Consider the following 24,668-nt stretch of genomic DNA (forward strand, 5'->3'; position numbering starts at 1 on the left):
CACCACGCCTGGCTGATTTTTGTATTTTTAGTAGAGACGGGGTTTCACCATGTTGGCCAGGCTTGTCTTGAACTCCTGGCCTCAAGTGATCTGCCCGCCTTGTCTTCCAAAAGTTCTGGGATTACAGGCGTGAGCCACTGCGCCCAGCCTTAGTTGGCTTTTTGAGTTACCTCTGCATTGACATATTTCCAGATGTTCAGCAGAAGAAAACTGCCCACCTTTAGGAAGAGGTGAGAGGAGTCACAGGGAAGCCTAGTTACACTGTGAGGCGAGTGAGCAGCAGAGAGTGAGAGGAAGCAAGCTGAAACCAGCTGGGAGCAAGACAGTGTAGCCAAGATGAGGAAGCTAAAAATGTCACTCCTGCAGCTTGTTCAGCTCCTCCTAGCAAGAGGAGTCGCTCCCTGTCCGTGCCCCTATTCTGATGTGGATATGTCTCTATTACAGAGTTTTTTACAGCAAAGTGTACTTCACTGTCTCTCCCGGGCAGTAAGCTCCTTCCAGATGGAGCTGTGGCTGACAGTATCATGGTTAAAAGTTTGTTCTCCAGGCAGACCCCAAATTCAAATCCAGATCTGCCACTTATTGGCTGTGAGAGCTTGGCAACTTATCCTCCTAACCTCAGCTGTCTCATCTGCAAAATGGACACAATAATAACTCCCCTAGAGGGACGGTTCCATGGATTAAGTGAGATAATCCACATAAACTTCTTAGCAAGCTTTCACTGTAAGTGTTTAATAAATGTTAGTTCTTATAAATTATTATTTGACATGGTGGATCATGTGATCCACCTGCCTCAGCCTCCCAAAGTGCTGGGATTACAGATGTGCTGCCACCTCGCCCTGCCCAAAGTTAATATTTTGAGTTTCTTGTACTGACTGGGGACACTGTTAGGAGCAGGGTTTAAGAGTCTGTTTAAAACTCTCCAGGGAGCACAGGTGTCCCCTAGCCTCCCTCCAACCTGAGGAAAAGGGGCTTTGATGAGGGTGTAGGGCTAAAGGGGTTTCCAGAGATACACCTGGGCTGCAAGGCTCCAGGGCAGGGGTGTAAGAATGGTGGTGGGGCCAGCAGGTTACAGCCTCAGGGCTGACTGCTACTCTCCCCTGCTAGCCTGTGAGGCTGGTGTCATAGGAAGGCTCGAGCTGCTTCCAAGTTGGTCCAAGTTACTTGGAGGAACTCTTGCCCTCTGATGTCTAGGGACTGGGTAACAACAGAATTTATTATCCAAACCTGGACATGAGTGGGAAAGGGTCTGTTATGAATAATTACACAGGACCGGCCCAGGCAAACCAAGATGGGGGCCACCCTACCTATGAATGTGGTTTAGGGAAGACCTTTGTGATGAATGAAATGGAAATGAGGACCTCTGGTACCCATCCTACCACAGCCAGCCTCAGCTCCAGCTGGGCACCTGAGGAGGATGGAAAACAAGGCCAGTCAAGGGCTCACTGCTGATGAGTCTAAGTATCTGCTGAAAGCCTTATGTGAAATGCCTAATCCTGTTGCACTTGGACCAGAAGCCCAGGCTGGGAGACCCCTCATGGCCTCTTCCCTGGGTCCACTCTTCTCTTAGCTCTTGGGGTTTCACCACGCTGTGGAAAGATGTAAAGAAAAAGGAAGGCCAGGCATGGTAGCTCACACCTGTAATCCCAGCACAGGTGTGAGCTGAGTTGGGAGGGTTGCTTGAGCCCAGGAGTTTTGAGACCAGCCTGGGCAACAGGGCAAAACACCGCGTCTACAAAAACTACAAAAAAATTTAGCTGGGTGTGGTCATGCACGCCTGTAGTCTCAGCTATTCAGGAGGCTGAGATGGGAGAATCACCTGAGCCCATGAAGTCGAGGCTGCAGTGAGCCATGATTGCACCACTGCACTCCAGCCGGGGTGACAGAGCAAGACCCCATCTCAAAAAAAAAAAGGAATAAAAGAAAAAGGAAGCCAAGAAAAAGAGGACCAAGAGAAGGGTCTTCCCTAAACCACATTCATAGGTAGGGTAACCCCCTCTTGGTTTGCCTGGGCTAGTTCTGTGTAATTATTCGTAACAGACCCTTTCCCACTCATGTCCAGGTTTGGATAATAAATTCTGTTGTTATCCAGCCCCCAGACATCAGAGGGCAAGAGTCCCTCCAAGTAACTTGGACCAACTTGGAAGCAGCTCAAGCCTTGCTATGACACCAGCCTCATAGGCTAGCAGGGGAGAGTAGCAGTCAGCCCTGAGGCTGTAACCTGCTGGCCCCACCACCATTCTTACACCCCTGCCCTGGAGCCTTGCAGCCCAGGTGTATCCCTGGAAACCCCTTTAGCCCTACACCCTCATCAAAGCCCCTTTTCCTCAGGTTGGAGGGAGCCTAGGGGACACCTGTGCTCCCTGGAGAGTTTTAAACAGACTCTTAAACCCTGCTCCTAACAGTGTCCCCAGTCAGTACAAGAAACTCAAAATATTAACTTTTGGCAGGATGCGGTGGCAGCACATCTGTAATCCCAGCACTTTGGGAGGCCGAGGCAAATGGATCACATGAGGCCAGGAGTTTGAGACCAGCCTGGGCAACATGGTGAAACCCCGTCTCTACTAAAAATACAAAAATTAGCCAGGCATGGAAGCACACACCTGTAATCTCAGCTGCTCGGAAGGCTAAGCTGGGAGAATCGATTGAACCCAAGAGGCAGAGGTTTCAGTGAGCCAAGATCACACCACTGCACTCCAGCCTGGGAGACGAGACAAGACTCTATCTCAAAAAACAAACAAACAAACAAACAAACAAACAAAAAAACCACAGCTTTTACTTTCCATGGATTTAAGAGCTAATTTGTTTTTTTATAGCTCCAAAACTCTTGGGTGAGGGATAAAACAGTATTTAACCAGCTATTGATGTCCAGCAGTCACAGGATATTAAAGATACAGGTCAAAAACATCAAAAAAGCACAATCAGTCACAATAACTAAGTCCTGTCAAGCAGTTTACATTCACAGTGTGCTTCCATACATACGACCTCACTGTTGCCTTTCATCCCCACCGAGAGATCAGCATTGTCAGCCCAAAGTCTGCAGGTTAGAAACAGGCCACTGAGAAAGGCTGAATTGCTCAAGGTCACTCAGTATGTAAGTGGCAGACCTGGAACCTGAAGCCAAGTCTTTTGATTTCAAACCTTGTGATTCTCTCTAACACGAGGAGTCACATATTCAGATTAACTTGAATTCAACCATAAATTTTCCAGGAATAAAAAGAAAAAGAAGAGAGAAAAATACAGAGAGAAAAAAAAGTGAGAGGGAGCAACCATTTAAATAGTACAGGCAACATCTCTGACCAATCCTTTTTTTTTTTTTTTTTTTTTTGAGACAGGGTCTTGCTCTGTCACCAGGCTAGAGTGCAGTGGTTCACTTATAGCTCACTGCAACCTCAACCTTCCAAGCTCAAGTGATCCTCCCACCTCAGTCCCCAAAGTAACAGCGACTACAGGCACATGCCACTGCGCCTGGCCTATTTATTTATTTATTTATTTATTTATTTATTTATTTATTTTTATTTTGTCGAGTTGGGTTCTCATTACCTTGTCCAGCTTTGTCTCAAACTCCTGGGCTGAAGTGATCCTGCTGCCTAGGTCTCCCAAAATGCTGACATTACAGGTGAGAGCCACCACTCTTGGCCTCTGACCTATCCTTTTAATGCAAACATGACATGGAATGCGCAAGTGAGCTGAAACATGACAACATCGTTCACTCCATGGGACTCCATTCTCAGATGCTTTCATCATGAGACCGTCTCGTCTCACTGAACGTGATTCTAGGATTTAAAGGCATGTGTTTTTGGATAACACAATCCCTAAACACAAATGAACACCTCTAGGTCATCTGGTGTTCAACCCAAGGAAACAAGCATGCTGGAGGAAAACCCTTAGGGTGGGACAATGTCAGACCCCACATGGCATCTTCCACCGGTCTCAGCCCCCATAGGAGCTGTGACTCCCGCAGCGTCCACCATTTTATAACTGAAAAAGTGTTCGCACAGACCCAGCTCACCCAATCCTTTCAACATCCTTGAGAAAGGGAGAGTAGGACAGATGTCATTGTCCCTATCCCATAGGTGGGGCAGGATAATATTTTGAAATACTACACTGTGTATTTCTTCTGCGTATTTTATGCTACAGGAAAGGAAGGAATGCAATTAGTGAAGGCTCATTCAGGTCAGGCCTCTGAATGTGGGGCTCTCTGAGCTGGGCAAGTTTCTTGTGCCTGAACTTAGCCCAGAAGTCACAGAGCTGCCTGCCACCAAGACACATGGCTTGGGCAGAGCAGGTGCCAGCTGTGACCATGCTGGACTGAGGCTGGATGATCCTCCCCATAAACTAAGGCACCACTAAGGCGCCTTTCTTCTTATATGTATTAGTCTGTTTTCACACTGCTATAAAGAACTACCTGAAGCCAGGCGTGGTGGCTCACGCCTATAATCTCAGCACTTTGGGAGGCCTAGGCGGGTGGATTACTTGAGGTCAGGAATTCGAGACCAGACTGACCAACATGGTGAAACCTCTTCTCTACTAAAAATACAAAAATTAGCCAGGCTTGGTGGTGCATGCCTATAATCCGAGCCACTCAAGAGGCTGAGGCAGGAGAGTAACTTGAACCTGGGAGGCAGAGGTTACAGTAAGCTGAAATCGTGCCACTGCATTCCAGTCTATCATGCCACTGCATTCCAGCCTAGGCAACAGAGTGAGACCCTGTCTCAAAAAAAAAAAAAAAAAAAAACCCTGAGACTGGGTAATTTATGAAGAAAAAGGTTTGACTCACAGCCCCACAGGTTTAACAGGAAGCATGACTGGGAGGCCTCAGGAAACTTAAACAATCAGCAGAAGTCGAAAGGGAAGCAAGCACTTCTTGATATGGTGGCAGGGGAGAGAGACAGCAAAGAGGGGAGATGTGCCACACGCTTTTTTTTTTTTTTTTTTTTTTTTTTTGAGCTGGAGTCTTGCTCTGTCGCCCAGGCTGGAGTGCAGTGGCGCGATCTCCGCTCACTGCAAGCTCCGCCTCCCAGGTTCACACCATTCTCCTGCCTCAGCCTCCTGAGTAGCTGGGATTACAGGCGCCCAACACCATGCCTGGCTAATTTTTTATATTTTTAGTAGAGATGGGGTTTCACCATGTTAGCTAGGATGGTCTCGATCTCCCGATCTCGTGATCCACCAGCCTCGGCCTTCCAAAGTACTGGGATTACAGGTGTGAGCCACCGCTCCCGGCCATGTGCCCCACACTTTTAAACCCCATCAGATCTCGTGAGAACTCACTCACTACCACAAGAACAGCAAGGGAGAAATGAGCTTTCATGATCCAATCACCTCCCACCAGGAACCTCTTCCAATTCAACATGAGATTTGGTTGGGGACAGAAATCCAAACCATATTATTATACAACCCAAGGGAGTTGGAAGGATCCCCAATAATGACTGTAAATTTCTTCCAAACCCTGGGATATAGAGCACTCACAATCATGTTTCTGTTGAATTTTTTAAATGAAATATGAAATCTCTTGCAGAACATATTTTGTGATTGCAAATTTTTCCCATTACACAAATAAAAAAAGAACAGGATGACAAACATCCATAAACTATACATTTGAGGTAAATGGGCTAGCCTCATCTGGAATAAGACACTTGGTTTATTAAACAGCCTGTTGGCTAATTTTTGGTTTTTCCTTTGTTTCCTGTAGAGACCACAGTAGTTTAAAGTGACTTCAGGGACCCCTGTCCTTCACTGACTTACTGGATGGTCTCTACCATCAGTTACCCTCCAAAATATATAAAGCCAAAGCAGCTTATGTGGCACCTTGGAGGTCCACAAAAGAAGGGGTTCCAAAAGCATGCAGTCATTAAGCAACTTTTTATGCCCTAGTTCCAGGGCCTTGCATCCAGATATAAAACAAAGCTCAGGTACATAGAATGGCTGCCTGTCCTGTAAGGTTCTATGGATATAAACTCACTTGCAATTCATCCTGCTGAAAATGTCTCCTTTCCCGCCACCTACTTAGGTCCTGTTCTGCTTCTACTCTGCAACACTCTGAATTCTGGCTGTTGCTTTTGTTTTTTGTTTTGTTTTGTTTTTAGCATGTAAGGGTGTCTTTTCTCACTTTCAAGCTGAGCTATACATTCAAGGCTTTCTCTTATATTTCCAGCGTGTCTCTATGTCCAGAGCCTGAGGAGGGCTTCCCACCGTACCCTGGTTTGCTATGTTCAAGGTAGTCTCCACCAAAAGTTCATTCATTCAGTCAACATTTCTGAGAGCTTATGAGGTGTCAGGCACTACGCAGGGCACAGAGGGCACAAACATGAGTGAGATGGCATGCCTGTTCCTAGCAATCTCATAGTCTAGAGAGGAAACTCCAGCACAACGGGGCTAGTGCCTGGTATAGGTGTGAACAAAGGGAACAGCAGCAAAGAGAACCAAGCCACTGACTCTGATGGGAATGGTGGGGAGGGATTTGCACGTATGGCTGTGCGATGAGTGTGACCAATATCCATCCATGATCCGCATGGCAGGGAAATAAATTAACCTTGACATTTATGATCTGTACTTGTTTAAAAATATAATCGAGCATAACATCAGATGGGTTGTTAGACTGATCCTCAAGAAACCTGGGTCAGAGTTCTCACTCTGCCTCTATGTGAACTGAGCACGGCATTGCACATGGCCAGGCGTCACTTTCTCACAGTATTATTTAATCAGTTGAGTTAAATAATCCCTAAGATCCCAACTAGCTGAAAACTACATGATTATTATACTTAATGTCATCACTTTCCCACCCAAAAAGCATTTCTATAAGTTATTTAAGAAAATAAAGCTAAATATATCTGTTTGCCACGGTCAACACATGCAAATTTAGCCAAAGGAACAGACCTAGAAGAAGAAAGCAGACACAAACCAAAAGACTAAAGAGCGGAGAGATTGCTGGGGAGCCCTGGGCACAATGAGTGGATGAAGCAGGAACGCAGAGAAGTGTGGCTGTGGTTGTTTAGTTTTGACTGAATATCTGCAGGTCACCTTCTTGACCACAAACTTCTCAAAGTTCCAAATCACATCTTCTCACTGCAGCCCACTAAAGAGCACCAAGGGATCTTTCATAAATACAAATTGGTTATGATGAAGAAGAGAGTGTCCGTTCGCTGATGTTTGTTGAGTGCTGCTGATAACAGTCTTTCAACCTGCCCCGAGCTGCCTTCTCCTGACAAGCAATTTGTAAGACGTAATGAGCCCGGTTAATCCAACACACGCAGCCCCCTGGATCACATGTAACAGAAACTGCACGTCCTCCAGAGCACAGATCAGTATGAAGCGAGGTAAACTGTGATTCTAAATGCGTAGTTTCCTTTGCTCACCCAGCTCGGAATAGGTCGCTTGCAATCTTCAACTCAGCTCTGCCAAAGTTGGATTCCTGTCCCGCCACCGAGGCGGCAAAATGGGAAGCGCAGCGCCATCTGCTGTCCGTCGAGGGGAGAGTCGAGGCTGCTACGGAATTGCTACGGTGTATGGAAGGGGGTCCTTCCGGTGGGACCTGGACTCCTTTGCAAAGCAATTCTCTCCACTATAAAGGAATACATGAGATTTATTTGTTACAGTGCGAGCTTTCGTATTTATTTTGTTTTCTTTAGGTATGATAGTCTAGATAAAATTTCTTTGATTTCAGACAAAAATGAAATTAGAAATTCAAACCTAGTTATAATGTTTTAATGTATGCACTAAACTAGGGCATGCATTTCATAATAAAAGTATCTAACCCCAATTACAGAGCTTTCCTTCACATTCATTGTAAGTACCATAAAATTAATGGCGTACACACAAGCTGATATTTATACAAATATAAAGAGAACTATTGAAGAAGGAAAATGTATTCAACTATGTTATAAAAGAAACAGCACCTTTTGAGTTATTAAATATTTTTACAGTAACATTAGAATTTAAAGCAAATGGTTCAAAGGATGTCTTGCTTTCCTAAAAAAGCTGAAACTTTGCACCAAGTTGGCTGATTTGTTCTTAATTGCACTTGGTATGTAATTCTATTTTAATAGTCTATTTTCAGAGCTGACAGTGGGACACTGAGTTTCTTTCAACTATGAATGAAAACGTAATGTTTAGGACTAGATATTGGCTTTCTAATGTAGATGATTTGGAGCTTGTGTGTTATGACCAGAAAAAAAAAATGGTGGACAGAATGTCAAGGACAGCCACAAATATCTCGGAAGTCTCACCTACAGTACCGCCATCCCTAAGATTCTAGAAAGATACTATGATGGGGACCTGGACAGTGATACCCAGAGGCAGCTTCCTTTGGCCACTTTCTCCCGACATCTGATTCCAGTGGATATTTATTAATTAAGCTTCTATTACTATAATTTCAGGTAGGAGAGACCGAAACAGGTAAACTATGCTTATTTTTTATTACAAATATTCCCAAAAATATTTGGAAAGAAAAAGATGCTAGAAATAGCATCTTCAGGAAACAAAGTATAGGTTACGCTGTAAGAAACTGCTGCTGCTTGGCTATTTTTTTTTTTTTTTTACCAAAAGCAAAGGAATTTCATATAGTTCACCCTAATACTTAGGACACTCAAGGGTGCACTGACATGGATGTGATAGGGAATGACATCCCTTGTAAACGCAGTCTTTACATAGATGCTTCTTCACGTCTGAGGCTAGGTTTATGAGAAGTTAGTTTGGACAAATGTTTTAGTCTGTGACATGAGTTTTATAAAAGAGCACCATCCCTCAGCAGAATGCAGTAGCTCAAATGAGCTTTCAATAGGGGCTGTTGATTTGGTTGTTAAGACTTAGATTCTTATCCTTGTTCACCAGTTAAGTCTCTGTCCAGCTTTTCTTATTGTAGAGTAGATAAGAACTATATATAAAATTAATATTTTCATACATTGACTAGTAGACATGCTGCAATACAAAAAGCCCATTTTTAAGTCAGTTGCTTAAATGTAAGCAAGCACTTCCTCAAAGAAATAAAAAGTGGTCCTAAAAAGTGGTCAAGTTTTCAGGTCCAGTCACAGGGGTCTACATAATTCACAATTCAGCCACACTCATGTTATTTTACAAATCTGAATTATAAGCCAAGGAAGCAGAAAGACAAAACGAAGAAGAAAAGTGATCAAAAACTGATAGTATGGTACTTAGTGTTTATGATACCATGTTCAGTATTCTGGTAAACCATGATATTCTTAAGTATTGAAATACATACTTAGTTCTGAATGATGCTGATATTTTCATACTTCCAAAAAACATGAAATCTAAATCCTTTATGTATTCAAAAATCAATGACTCAATTTTTGATGTATGCAACAAAACAAATCTGTGTTCATTTTTTTACATCTACACAGATCTACACCCATAAAGGCCGCAATGAGCAAACAGATGTGCAACTGGAGCTTCCACTGAAAGCATAAGTCTCAGTCTGTGCATGATGAAACTAAGAAAAACAAAGACAAGCAGAAATGCTCTCTTCAAAACAAAATAGAACAGCTTACCATAATAAAAAGACTGTCACTCTAAAAAAACAAAGTACGAAATTTTCAAAAAGTACTCTTCAAAGAGATGGGGTGACTTGAAGATAGTCAAAAGAAAATGTCTGAGCCAGGAGTGGTGACGTGTACTTGTAGTCCCAGCTGCTTAGGAAGCTGAGGCAGGAAGATTGCTTGAATCCAGGAGTTGGAGACCATCTTGTGCAATATAGCAAGACCCCATATCTAAGAAAAAGCAGAAAGAAAACAAGACACTATTTTATAGATTTTATTGATGAATAATTTATACTATTATAATGTATGCTTATTTTCATAAATTTTTATATTACTTGAGGTTTTCTAGGTTTATACATTTTTATATTTGAAATGTATGAAATTTTGAGTCCCAATGAAATTTTTTAGGAATTCTAAAAATGTGTTTTAAATAATTTGAGGCCCAGCGCAATGGCTCCCACCTGTAATCCTAGCACTTTCGGAGGTTGAGGCGGGCGGATCACTTGAGGTCAGGAGTACTAGACCAGCCTGGCCAACACGGCAAAACCTTGTCTCTATTAAAAAATAAAAAATAATAATAATAATACAAAAATTAGCCAGGCATGGTTGTGGGCGCCTGTAATCCCAGCTACTCGGGAGGCTGAGGCAGGTGAATCACTTGAACCTGGGAGGCGGAGGTTACAGTGAGCCAAGATCACACCACTGCACTCCAGCCTGGGTGACAGAGCGTGACTCCATCTCAAAAATAAATAAATAAAATAATAGATAATGTGTGTATTTCACCATTCATTTCACTTAAAATCAGAATAAATAGTGAAGAAACAGAAATATCATTTTCTGCTGATGTATTGTAATGTCTAGTGGTGCTCAAACAGAGACGGCATGTGGAGGAAGAAGGAACAAAGCATTAGGTCAAGAGACCTAGATTTCAGGCTGAATTAGGCCCTACAGAGGCTGTAAACAGTGAATGGTGATCCCTCACCATTATGAAAATAAAAATACAAATGACATTATACCATAAACTAAGTCCAAAAGAGTCCTTATTTTTCCCATAATGAACAGTAAATATTTTTGTTAAATATTTTATTTTTCCCCCCTAGAATTATTCTGGTGCTCCTGATTTGTTAGTTGCCTGAGAATAAGACATGCTCCATCAGACTCCAAAAAGTTCAGTCCTCTCCAGCCTGTTCTTCTGGTCAGCTCTGCCCATCGGTCATTAACCTCTCTAGGCCTCTTTCTCCAGCAACACAATGAAGGGTTTTGATCAGGTGGCATCTGGGCTTCCACCCAGCTCGGAAGAATAACTCCCTGCTCCGGTCACTGCAGAGCCAGCCCTAGGCCGTGTTTCCTGAACCTTTGAAATCCTGTCACCTCCCTTTTTAAGAGCATGCTGTTGAGCTAACTCATGGGGCTGTGTGAATGAATGATAGCCTTAACCTTGCCGGGTGTGTCTTTATTTTAATATTACAAACCATGAGACTCTAGTTAAGGGAATTTCAGACATTTTTAAGAATGATTTTTGTTTTTTTTCCAGGGGTGGTAAGTGTGGTGTTTCCTGAGAGCAGAGGCTTTGGAGCATGACTGATAAGGGTTTAAAGGCTAGTTCTACTGAATGGGTGAAGATGCTGATTTGGTAAGGGCATGGAAAAATAGGCACTCTCAAGTACACCTCTGTGGAAAGGAGTTTGGGTTATAGCTTTCAAAATTTCCTGCTTATCTACTGTCAGGGCAATTCCACGTGAGGAATTTTTCCTGAAAATATACTCAAATAAAGGCAAAATATGAGTTCACTGCTATAAAGAACTATCTGCGACTGGGTAATTTATGAAGAAGAGAGGTTTCATTGACTCACTCACAGTTCCACAGGCTGTACAGGAAGCATCACTAGGAGGCCTCAGGAAACTTACAATCATGGCAGAAGGTGAAGGGGAAGCAAGCACATCTTACCATGGCAGAGCAGGAGAGAGAAAGAGAGCAAAGGGGGAAGTGCCACACACCTTCAAACAACCAGATCTCATGAGAACTCACTCACTATCACAAGAGCAGCAAGGGGGAAGTCCACCTCCATGATCCAATTACCTCCCACCATGCCCTCCCCTGACATGTGGGGATTACAATTCAATATGAGATTTGAGTGGGGACACAGAGCCATACCATATCAGGGTAGAAGAACATGGATGGGTGCCAAGGACTCTAAGGCACAGATTGTGCTGGTCAGTGACCCACTGCTCCTCAGCACACAGCCACTCTTCTAGACTATGCTTGTACTCCTAGGGCTGGGAGTGTGCAGACCACATTTTTCAGGCTCCCTTGTCAGCTGCTTCCTGTTTGGTTCTCCCAATAACAGACTCTAGTGGTCTTTTCTTGGTCCAAGAAGAGACAAACATTCTGCTTCTGGCCCTGGCAGTGTGGTAGTTGCTGGGGGAGGCTGGCAGGAACTGTAGTGGCAACAGGATTCCGACCCCCCAGCATGATAGGCAGCATCTTTTCAGCTATTTCAGTTCTAATCTAGGTGCACAACTCTGGCAGAGCCAGAACCAACTGGCTCAACATTAGCTCCTACAGTGCCACCTCTACCCTGGGGGTATTAGCAGCTCCTGATCTCAGATTATCACACCATCTTCCTTTTTTTCCCAGGGCCCCTAAACCTTTTTCCTTTTGCTCTCCCAACACTTCTAAGACCATTCTAATCGGTTACCTATATTGAATTTTTCTCTGTTTGAAATACTAAGCAAATTCTGTTTTTCAGAATGAACTTCAAATGATACAAAGATCATTCATTCCAGTATTGTATTTAATTTAAAAAATGATTTTAGAACAATGTGTCACTCAGTAAGGAACTGGTTAAATAAATTATAGCACAAACAAACACAAGAATACTATACAGTTGTCAAAAAGACTGATGCAGTTCTGTATGTACCAATATGAATCATCTTCAAGTTGTTATAGTTAAAAAAAAATAGGTACAGAATACCACATGTCAGATGCTACCACTTGTGTTGATCTCTCTTTCGGTAGAATTTTTAAGTTCACAGGCTCTCTACACTGGCCAACTGCCATGATTTAATTGGCTCCATGGCCACACTGTGGCCGAAAAAACCTTTCTCATCTTCTTTCTACCATTTCCTCTGTTTACCTTCTTTCCCAAAAAATATTAAGTTTTTGTCATGATCTATGGCTGATAAGATTCATGTAAATCTAAAATGTAATACAATTAGATTCTCAGATCATTTCAAAATCCAGTCAGAGATTAGGAGTCCACATTGTAAACTGCTACTTGAGCTTGTTTGATCTGCAGATTTATTTGTGTTTTTTAAATTCTGTGGGTGGGGACTGATTCAGAGTTCTTATGTGTGCACGACCTATGAGACTAGAAAACTGTAACACATGGAGAACTCTTTTTAAAAGAGATCTAGGGTAAGACCGAGCACCCCATCATGCCTGAGAAATAGCCAGCCCTCTTCCTGGTCTATGAGGAAGACTGTGACTGAACAAAATAACATGAGATTGGGGGAGAGAGATTGTGGAGCCGTAATTTTATGAAGATGCCAATCCACTTTTTGCACTTTATCTGTTGAAAAAAAAACAGAAGATTGAATAGCCAGGTGTGCTTTCACTTTTGTGGGGAAGAAGACAGTATTAATGAGAGGAAGAAGTTAAACTTCTCTGAGAAATAGAGGGTTTTACTTGACAGGGAAGGGAAACTCACAATCAAATTTTGGGTATTTTGTATTGCTGGCAGATTGTCCAAAGAGCTAGAGACAGGAGAAATGTGTACATTCTCCGAGGTAAAGGAGTTGTGTAGCCTTTGGGTTTACTTACTTAATGTTTGTCCTTGACTCATTTCAGCATTTCTTGGAGAAAAATGAACGAGGAATTTAAAAAGGCAGTCAGGGGCTCTACTGCATTTTAAATCCTAAGAAGTGTCTAGGATTTTTGAAGTGACCCCATAAAGATCCAAACAATTTATCAGTCTGGATTTGGTCAGAAAACAGTTACTACAAGTATTAAGAAGTAAGGGGTTTAACACAGGAATTAAAGACTGCAGCTAAAGAAGGAAAACAGTCCCTAACTTTCTTAAAACATTATGAAATTTATGCATGGGCCTTTTTTTTTTTAGCTCATCAGCTATCGTTATTGTTACTGTATCTTATGTGTGGCCCAAGACAATTCTTCTTCCAGTGTAGTTCATGAAAGCCAAAAGACTGGACAACCCTGCTAGGCCCTAAACTAAAGCAGTGAATAGGGAGAAGCAGCCAAAGTTCACAGGAAAACCAGGAAACTTCCAGGTTGCACCTGAGTATCACAGCTACCACGCGGGAGCGCTGGAGAAACCTGCAAAGCCATCGCAACTGGTTGCCATGACTTCCTGTGAATAATGGCTTTTGCTTCACTGCTGTCTTCCAAATCTCAATGCAAGTTTCTCTCTTGCCCAGCTAAGAACCATACAGGGAAGGGGATTCCAGGGAAATGTAGTTCCAGCTTTACACGATGCCAGGCGGGCAATTGACAGTCTAGTACACACAACTTCACTATTATTCCTTCACTAAAACCTTTAGCAGCCTGGGTCCAGTGGCTCCTGCCTGTAATCCCAGCACTTTGGGAGGCCGAGGAGGGAGGATTGCTTGAGCTCAGAAGTTCGAGACCAGCTGGGCAACATGGCTAAACCCCATCTCTACCAAAAAAAAAAAAAAAAAAAAAAAAAAAAAGAGCTGGGCATGGTGATGCACACCTGTGGTCCCAGCTACTTGGGAAGCTGAGGCAGGAGGATCACTTGAGCCCAGGTGGTCAAGGCTGCCCAATCGTGACCATGCCACTGCACTCCAGCCTGAGTGACAGAGTGAAATCCTGCCTAAAAACACAAACAAACAAACAAAAACCTTTAGCATTTGACATGTTGGCCACTTCTTTCTTTTCAGAATACTTTTTTTCCCTTGGATTCTGAAATGCCACTTTCTCTTGGATCACCTTTTACCTGGTTTTTCTTTCTGTCAGCTTTGATGCTTCCTGTTGCTCTCCCAGAGACAGTCCTGGGACCTCCTTGCTGACCTCATTGGGTCTCATGACTTTGAGTAGGTCTATGTTCTGATGACTGCCACATATAGATCCCCAGCTCAGATTCGGCCGCAAAACTCTTGACTCCTGTATTCAAGCGCCCTCTTGACTTCTCTGCTGTCATCTCTAATAGCCAAACCAAACTCTAATCCCCCCACACACAAAAAATTTATCACTCGGTCTTCCCCATCTCAAGAAATAGCAACTTTCTTTTTTCAGTTGCTCGGGTCAACAAAATCATCCTTGATTTTTCTCTTTCTCTCATCCCACATCCAATCCATCACCAAATCCTGTCAGCTCTATGCTCAAAATATATTAAGAATCTGACCACTTCTCATTACCTCTGCCTCTGTAGCCCTTTGCAAACTCCTGCCTGCATTTCTGCAGTGGTCTTCCAACCCACCCCACCTCCAAGTCTATTTCCAATACAGGAGGCAAAGGGATTCACTTAAAACATAAGTTAAATCACATCACTCCTCTGCCCAAAAGTCAACAATGATTCTCCATGTCAGTTAAGACTAAAGTCACAGTTTACAATGTCACACTATCAGAAAGGCATTTCACGACTACCTTACATAACACAGCAGCCCCATCAACACTCTCCCGGGACCTTGCTTTATCTTTCTCCGTAGTGTATATTACCATCTGGGCCATTGTGTACTTGCTTATTTAGTATTTTATATCCCTGCTATGGACAGAATTATGACCCACCCCCAAATTCATATCTTGATATCCTAACCCCTAATGTGATGGTATTTGGAGATGGGGCCTTTGGGAGGTAATTAGGTTTAGATGAGGTCATGAGAGTAAAGCCCTCATGAAGAGATTAGTGCTCTTACAAGAAGAGGCATCAGTAACATTCTCTCCCTCTCTCTCTCTCTCTCCACCCCCCCCTTTCTTCCTATCCCCACACATTAAGAAGGCATTCACCTGCAAGCCAGGAAGAGAAACTTCACCAGGAAAGGAATCAGCCCGCACCCTAATCTTGGACTTCTAAGCCTCCAGAATTGTGAGAAAATAAATTTCTGTTGTTTAAGCTACCCAGGCTGTGATATTTTGTTAGAGCAGCTCAACTGCCTTGGTTCAGATTTGGAAAATCCCACTGTTTCCAACGAGGTTATAAGATACATAAAGAACAAGATTTTCTTTTTGTTCACTGCTGTATTTCCAGCCGCTACTTGCCACTCAAAATATAGTATATCCACAATGAATAAATGACTGAATGAATGAGTTGCCCAATATCATGGCTAGAATGTGGCATAGCCTGAGCTAGCTCAGATGCTAGCTATAACTACACAGTGAAGTAGGGATAAGTCTTAACCTGAGCCTTAATTGTTTAAGATTAAACAACTGTGTGAACCTGATTTGCAAATAGCAATATAAGCAACCCATCTTCAATATTCTAGTACATTCATAAAATGCAGATACAAATTCTGCCCCTCCAGGTTTCTCCTAGGTGAAAGGAATGATCATTCACTTAAGAAAATCTTATAGCACATCTGTCTTGACATAATCTTCACCTGGTAAACAGCATTTGGGAATTCAGAAAACACAGCATTAAATTCTGCTCCCCATCCAAACCACAGAAGTGTGTTTATTTCTTGAAGGCTATTGCAGAACTAACTCCCCAGTATAAGGGCCAACCAGCACTCCTGAGGTCTTGACTTTAAAACCAAGGCAGTGCTTTTTTAATTCCCCAAGAGTGAGAGCATGTTGGTAAAGAAACATAACTCACAATGTGAATTAGCTTCTGATAGTAATTCATCTGGTTCCCCTAAAACAGAAAGCTCAAAACCATTCAGACATGTTTCCTTGAGACTGCTGAAATCAGATTCTTTTAAAAGCGGTAAGTAGTAACCATCCCTGAAAATCAAGGCCAAATGGGCCAGAAATGAGAAGCAGTTTGTAAATTCTGAGTTTTGGCCCACTGGAGCCAATTACTCTAACAGGGACAACCTTGGTGTCTTTATTTGAATGTTTGAGATAGCCTGTTTACTGCAAGGTAAGTGATTGATGTGTGCTCTCAGTGTAATTGAGGAGAAACCTCTCGGATCACAAATTCAACCAGTAATTACTTTAGGATTCCTCTGAGAAAGTGTCTACATAATTTCCTTTGTATGTGTTTTCCAAAAGGACTTATGTCTCCTATCCAGTGTTCTCTAAACCACAAATGTACTCCATTGATTTTCTCAGGCTACAGTGTGTTGATTTTCAGCCCATAGTGTATAAGGTGAAAGGAAACAATAACTGAATATAGAAAATATTGATCTGCAACCATTGATTCAAGGCCCCGGGGTGTCAAAAGATTAGTTACTTTTAAGAGAAGTCCTGAAGGTGACTTTCAACTACTTTTTATTGACCAACACAGACCAGATAAACCCTTCTATTCAAAGCCATGGGCTCTTCTCCAAGAGCCATAATGAAAAACCATTTTACTCCCTTGCTTGAGATCCAGGTAAGACAACACAGTTTCTAAGTACATATAAATGATGTACTGTTACCAAATGATTCATGGTATTCTAATTTAACTATAATAACAACTAGTACATTTATTGTTTACTATGTCTCAGGAATTGTTCCAAGTGATTGACATATATTAACTTATGTAATCATCACAACACCCCCTCTGAGGTAGGTACCAATATTATCCCCATTTTAAAGAAGAGGAAACTGAGGCATAGAAAGAGTAAGTTACTTGTCCAAGGTCAAACAGCTAGTAAGTGTCAGGGCCAAGCTTTGAACTCAAATAGCTTGGCTCTAGAAATTATACTCTTAACCACTGCATGAAGATAGCACTCAAATGTTAAGGGAAACCTGAGAAACTTCACTGAACAAAGTCGCAAATGAAAATTATTGAAATATTGGCCATTATTCTGCATCTGCAGAAGGTGAAGAAGGAAAAGCAATATTTTGAATTCTAAGTACTTTTCTGGTTTTTTGTTGAAAAAAATAATTTAGAATAAAACTAAATTAATGTATCATCCCATAGCTGACTAAAATACTCTAGGGAGATTTCCTATCATCATTTATACACTTTTAATCCTGTAGACTATAATCAATACACATCAAAACCACAGTGAGATACCACTTCACACCCATTAGAATGACCATCAGAAAAAAAAAAAAAAAACAGAAAGTGCCCATCATAGTGGTGTACCTATAGTCCCAGCTACTCAGGGGGCTGAGGTGGGAGGATTCCTTGAGCTCAGGAGCTGCAGTTCAGCCTGGGCAATGCAGCAAAACCAGACCTCTGAAAAATATTTATAAAAAATTAACAAAACAGAAAGTAACAAGTGTTAGTAAAGATGTGGAAAAATTGGAACACTTGTGCATTGTTCGTGGGGAACATAAAATAGTGCAGCAGCTATGGAGAGCATTATGGAGATTCCTCAAAAAAGTAAATATAGAATTATCATATCATCCAGCAATTCCACTTCTGGGTATAAAACCAAAAGAATTGAAAGCGGGTATTCTAACAGATATTTGTGCATCTATGTTCATAGCAGCCAAAAGGTGGAAACAACCCAATGTCCATCAACAAATAAATTTATAAACAAAATGTCATATATACATATAATAGAAATTTTATTCAGCCTTAAAAAGGAAGGAAATTCTGACACATGCTACAATACAGATGAACCTTGAAGACATTATACTAAGTGAAATAAGCCATCACAAAAGAACAAATACTATATGACTGCATTTAAATGAGCATCTTAGAGTGCTCAAATTCATAGAGATAGAAAGTAGAATGGTGGTTTCCAGGGGCTGGGCAAAGTGGGAATAAGGAGTTTTTAATGGGTACAGAGTTTCCACTTGAGAAGATGAAAAAACTTTGGAGATGGATGGTGCTGATGGTTGCACAACAATGTGAATGTACTTAATGCCACAGAAATGTACTCTTAATGGTTAAAATGATAAGTTTTATGTTATGTATATTTTATAATAAAAATACTATATTTTTTCATGAGTACCTGTGTGCATATATATGTGTATAGATAGTTACTGTCTTTTTAATACTAATCAAAGCTGTAAACACTATTCTGTATCTTTTTTCTTCTTATAACAACATATCTTAGGGATAATTCCATATTAGTACATTCTTTTAAATGGCTTCCTGATATTCTATGATATGGGATACCATAATTTAAGCCACCTGAGAACAATGATTATTTAATTGTCCACAGTCTCATTACAATAAACAATGCTGCAAAAACAACTACAACAACAAAAATTTTCGAGAATCAAAAGCACATAATAGTTCTTGCATTAGGATAGATGAGGTAATGTGATGCTAAAAAGCAACCCCCAAACCTTCTATTAAATAGGAAAAAAACTCTCAAATCCTCTTACCACAAGAGTCTATTTCTTACTCATGCTACATGTCCTGCAGGAGTCAGCAAGGGCCTCTGCTCCACACGGTTCCACCATCTTCTGACTGTATCATCGAGATGTAGCTTCCCTCCCTGATGATTGGGCTTTCCACTGTCTTGTTCCAGGAGACTCATCTCATTATCCAAAACTAATATTTGCTCTTTGATGAGTATTATGACTACCTCTTCCACACTTCAATCACACAAACAGAAAAATTTTCTCACTATAGGTAAAGCAAAGTTCTACAAATTATTTATGGAATTCTCTCTGTAACGTTCCAGTGATAATTTTCACTCAAAAAATATTTATATCATTCCTACTACATACTAAGTGCTGTCACATGGGAGGTATTCAGTAAATATTTGCTAAGTGAAAAACAAACAATCCCTACTTGTCTAGTAATTGCTGCTCTTTCTTCCAGAGCAATCAAACCACTAGAAATAGGAAGAGTAAATAAGAAATTACTTCCAATTAAATACTTAGAAATTAACTTAACCAAAGAAGTGAAAGATCTCTGTAATTAAAACTGTAAGACACTGCTGAAAGAAATTGAAGAAGACACACACAAAAAATGGAAAGATATTCCATGTTCATGGATCGGAAGAATCAATATTGTTAAAATGTCCATACTATCCAAAGACATCTACAGATTCAATGCAATCCCTATCAAAATACCAATCACATTCTTCATAGAAATAGAAAAACAATCCAAAAATGTATATGAAACCACAAAGGACCCAGAATAGCCAAAGCTATCCTAAGCAAAAAGAACAAAACTGGAGGAATCACATTACCTGACTTCAAATTATACTGCAGAGCAATAGTAACTAAAACAGCATGGTACTGGCATAAAAACAAACACATAGACCAATAAACAGAATAGAGAACCCAGAAACAAATCCATACATCTACAGTGAACTCATTTTCAACAAAGATGCCAAGAACATACACTGGAGAAAGGACAGTCTCTTCAGTAAATGGTGCTGGGAAAATTGGATATCCATATGCAGAAGAATGAAACTAGACCCCTATCTTTCATCATATACAAAAATCAAAATGGATTAAAGACTTAAATCTAAGTTCTCAAATTGTAAAAGTACTAAAAGAAAACATTGAGGAAACTCTCCGGGACGTTGGACTGGGCAAAGATTTCTTGCATAATACCCCCAAAGCACAGACAACCAAAGCAAAAATGGACAAATGGGATCACATCAAGTTAAAAAATCTTCACAGCAAAGGATACAATCAACAAAGTGAGCAGACAACCCACAGAATGGGAGAAAATATTCCCATCTGACAAGGGAGTGATAAGCAGAATATATAAGGAGCTCAAGCAACTCTATAGGAAAAAATCTATTAATCCAAATAAAAATGGGCAAAAGATCTGAATAGCCATTTCTCAAAAGAAGACATACAAATGGCAAATAAGTATATGAAAAGGTGTTCAACATAATTGATCATCAGAGAAATGCAAATCAAAACTACAATAAGATATCACCTCATCCCAGTTAAAATGGCTTATATCCAAAAGACAGGCAATAACAAATGCTGGCAAGGATGTGGAGAAAAGGGAACCCTCGTACACTGTCAATAGGAATGTAAATTAGTACAACCACTGTGGAGAACACTTTGGAGGTTCCTCAAAAAACTAAAAATAGAGCTACCATATGATCCAGTGATCCCACTGCTAGGCATATACTCAACGGAAAGGAAATTAGTATATCAAAGAGATATCTGCACTACCATATATATTGCAGCACTGTTCACAATAGCCAAGATTTGGAAGCAACCTAAGAGTCTATCAACAGATGAATGGATAAGGAAAATGTGGTGCATATATAAAATGGAGTGCTATGCAGCCATAAGGAAGAATGAGATTCTGTCATTTGCAACAACATGAATGGAACTGGAGGTCATTAAGTTAAGTAAAATAAGCCAGGGACAGAAAGACAAACTTTACTTGTTCTTACTTGTTTGTGGGAGTGAAAAATCCAAACAGTTGAAATCATGGAGATAGAGAGTAGAATGATGGTTACCAAAGGTGGCAAGGGCAGGGAGCAGGGAAGTGGGGATGATTAATGGGTACAAAAAATAGTTAGAATGAATAAGACTTAGCATTTGCTGACACAACAAGGTGGCCATTGTCAATAACAATTCAATTGTACATTTTTAATTAACTAAAGTAGTACATTTGGATTGTCTGTGACACAAAGAATAAATGCTTGAGGTGACAACCCATTTACCCTGATGTGATTATTACACATTATATGCCTGTATCAAAATATCTCATGTACCTCATAAATATATACATCTACTATGTACCCACAAAAAATTAAAAATTTTAAAATTAAAAAAAAAGAAATGACTTCTGGCTTTCTTCTCACCTAGTCACTTGGCCAGACCCCAAACGAGTTTAACTTCCTCTTTGAGAGTAAACCATCACTGTCGGGAGGAGAACCAGGAATCTAACTGAGCCCGAAACTACAACTAAGTCATAATCACTGCCCAGTTCAAAATTCTCATTGTTTCAAAGTCAAACCAGTGTTTAAGGTTGGCACTTACACATTTCAGCTTAGAGCTTCCATTTGCATTTTGCACAAATATTATGCATAGGTGAGAGAAAAGAATATGATACAGGCTAATCCAATAGCTAATTAGCAACACCTGCACCAAAGCAATATTAGCATCTTGCTATTAGGTTACTGTTTGCATTACAGGATAAGTGATTATACCTGTCAAACTATGACAGAACTTGCTTCATTTTTCAGTTCATGTATAAATTTAAATGCCATTTTTAATAGCCCCCCCAAAAATTTAGATGTGACATTTTACTATTTTTGAATTTCAGTAAAATGACAGAATTTCAATTCAATTCCTAAAAAATTAGAAAGTCATATTTACATAAATAAACATATCCTTTTAATTATTTCTATCAGGGTATCTCCTTTACTCTATCTACCTGTTCTCCCTGAGGCTCCAACAAGTAGATACAAACTCTAAAGGTAGTAACACATGCTAATGCTCATAATTTTATCCCTATGCTTAACAGAACACTCAGTTCGTGCAGGTGCTCTATACATATTTGTTGTATTAATTAAATTCAATTTCTGCCTCTATGTTGATGACTCCCAAGCCTCCAGTTCCAACCACTTTCCAACCTCCAGGGTCTACTCACTTAACAAAATCTCTCTCTTTGAATATTTTACTATTCCACAGACACTACTGTAATCCCCCAATGGGTTCATTTTGCCAGCTGCCCAGAAAAGCCAATGCACTGAGAATAGCAGGGTTTTGCAGCAAAGAAAGAGTTTAATAATCACAGAGCCAAGGAGAAGGATGGGGCTTCCTACTCAAATCAGACTGCCTAAGAATTCAGAGGCTAAGGTTTTTATGGATAATTTGGCAGGCAGGGGTTCAGAGATGGGTGCTGCCGATTGGCTGGGAATGATATCATAGGAAGGTGGAAAACAGTCCTCACGCACTCAGTCAGCCTCTGGGTGGAGGCACAAGGCCAATTGATTCATGAGTCACAGGTCCTGGTGGAGTCAGTCGGTTGCCAGAATGCAAAAGTCTGAAAAACACCTCAAAAGACCAATCTCGGGTTCCGCAACAGTGATGTTATTTATAGGAGCAATTGGGAAATTCACAAATCTTGTCACCTCTGGCCACATGACCCCTGAGCTATAAGGGATTCTTCAAAACTACAACTACATTATAGCAGAATTCAGGCCCCTCCCATAATCTTGTGGCCTTTCATTAGTCTTAGAAAGGCAGCTTCAGACCCCAAGCAAGGAGGGGGTCTGTTTTAGAGAGGGAATATTATCATCCCTGCTTCAAAGTTAAACTACAAACTAATTTCCTCCCATGGTTAGCTTGGCCTACACCCCAGAATGAGCAAGGAGAACCAGCCTGTGAGGGCAGAAGCAAGATAGAGTCAGTCATGCTAGACTTCTCCCACTGTCATAATCTCTGCAAAGGCAGTTTCACTACCTGCTCTATTATGATCAACATTCATATTATTTTCAACATTGATAGTCACTCAGATCAAGATCAAGAATTCACAGTATTCCTTGTCCACACATGAGAAAATTCTTTCTCCAGTCTTGGAAGGAGTGTCATGTTGTGAAATTGATTTTGGAGCAGAAGTCCTAACCTGGGAGCAGAGGAGGGTTCTTAGGGAATGTAGAAACCCCCTAAAATTCACACAAAATTTATGTTGTATGAATATTCTCTCTCCATCTCAGAAGTAGGGGTGGGGTTGCTGTAAGACCCAATGTGTCCTAAAAGGGAGAAGTCAGAATATGACTTTATAGCATGGGGCCTGCCATACCATCATTAAAATTTTGCGTCATTGTATTTGCCTTCAAATGTCTAAAAGGCTTTCTGACATGAAAAAAAAAATGGATCAGATTTGTTCTGTGAAGCTTCAGAGAACAGACCTAGCATGAGGAAGTTAGAGAAAAGCACACATTCACTCAAGAGAAGAAGAAATTCTGCCTCAGCTGTCAAAACCGGCATGAGCTGACTGGTGTGATAGGGAGTTACTTGTTGAATCGTGTTCAAATGAGGCTTGTCTGTGATCCTTTGGATGGGTGTCTCCAAAGACCTTTATCTGGCCGGGCGCGGTGGCTCACGCCTGTAATCCCAGCACTTTGGGAGGCCAAGGTGGGCGGATCACAAGGTCAGGAGATCGAGACCATCCTGGCTAACACGGTGAAACCCCATCTCTACTAAAAATACAAAAAATTAGCCGGGCCTGGTGGCGGGTGCCTGTAGTCCCAGCTACTTGGGAGGCTGAGGCAGGAGAATGGCGTGAACCCAGGAAGCGGAGCTGGCAGTGAGCCGAGATGGTGCCACTGCACTCCAGCCTGGGCGACAGAACAAGACTCCGTCTCAAAAAAAAAAAAAAAAAAAAGAGAGAGAGACCTTTATCTAGGGTTGACTAGGTGTGGTGGCAATGGGAAGATTAAAAGATGGATAAGAGGTAATTCCCTCAAAACCATCCTATTTTTGAAATGTTATTTCCCCTAAATACTAGCATTACAAGTCCTTATGTATTAAAAAAAAATCTTCAAAATATTTTGTATTCCATTTTTCAGTTAAAATAGCATTGATTTACTTAACATACTCAAACCCACACCTTGACTCTTTATGATTGAAAAGCTGTTCATTGTGCATACCACCGTGGGAACTAATCTAATGATCAAGGCTCCATGTTTTCTGTGAAATGGACTCAGATTTTGCCTCCAGCTGTACAATATAGAACCCTGTAGACAACATTTTTTAAACTACCGTTAAAGGTATAAGAACATTTTCCAGACTCTACAGAAAACTACTCTTTCAAACAATGGGAGTCATTTTTCTTCATAGCATCAAGCTGAAAAAGGTACTATAAGTCAAAGTCATTATACTCAGAGAGCACATATATGCATTTATTTCAACGTCCATCTAAGACTGAACTGTAGCAGGGCGACCTTCAATTTCTCACAGACAGATTTATTGTGAAAAGATCCAAAATGGCCTTTCTACTCAGTGCACATCTACTCTTCTATTGTGAGAATCTCATCTCTGATGCATACTTTCTCCAGGCTATGGATATTCTTTGCAATCTTCACCTGACTTTGATCACCAGTTTGATCATTCAGTCTCTATTGCAGAAAATATTCTTCAGTTTAAAAATATAGTCTTGGCCAGGCATGGTGGCTCACACCTGTCATCCCCACACTTTGGGAGGCTAAGGTGGGA

General features: G+C 41.1%; 1 long non-coding RNA gene across 1 annotated transcript in view, besides 1 other annotated feature; it reads right to left on the minus strand.

The window, feature by feature from the left end:
* The window catches only part of LOC105378247 (uncharacterized), a 39,168-nt gene extending 29,496 nt beyond the window's left edge, over nucleotides 1-9,672 (minus strand). Inside the window, exons 1-2 of the long non-coding RNA XR_944875.4 lie at nucleotides 9,507-9,672; nucleotides 7,359-7,564 (exon numbers count right to left, since the gene is read on the minus strand). This is a non-coding gene — a long non-coding RNA (uncharacterized LOC105378247). The remainder of the gene's footprint in view (nucleotides 1-7,358; nucleotides 7,565-9,506) is intronic.
* Nucleotides 181-230: a silencer, noted in NCBI's record as "silent region_4356". NCBI's record gives its function as "represses an Ori minimal core promoter by ATAC-STARR-seq in GM12878 lymphoblastoid cells {active_cell/tissue: GM12878}" and the evidence as "EXISTENCE:reporter gene assay evidence [ECO:0000049][PMID:35858748]".
* Nucleotides 9,673-24,668: the final 14,996 nt, after the last annotated feature.

The sequence above is a fragment of the Homo sapiens genome, chromosome 12 (genome assembly GCF_000001405.40).
Source record: "Homo sapiens chromosome 12, GRCh38.p14 Primary Assembly".
Classification (NCBI taxonomy): Eukaryota; Metazoa; Chordata; class Mammalia; order Primates; family Hominidae; genus Homo; species Homo sapiens.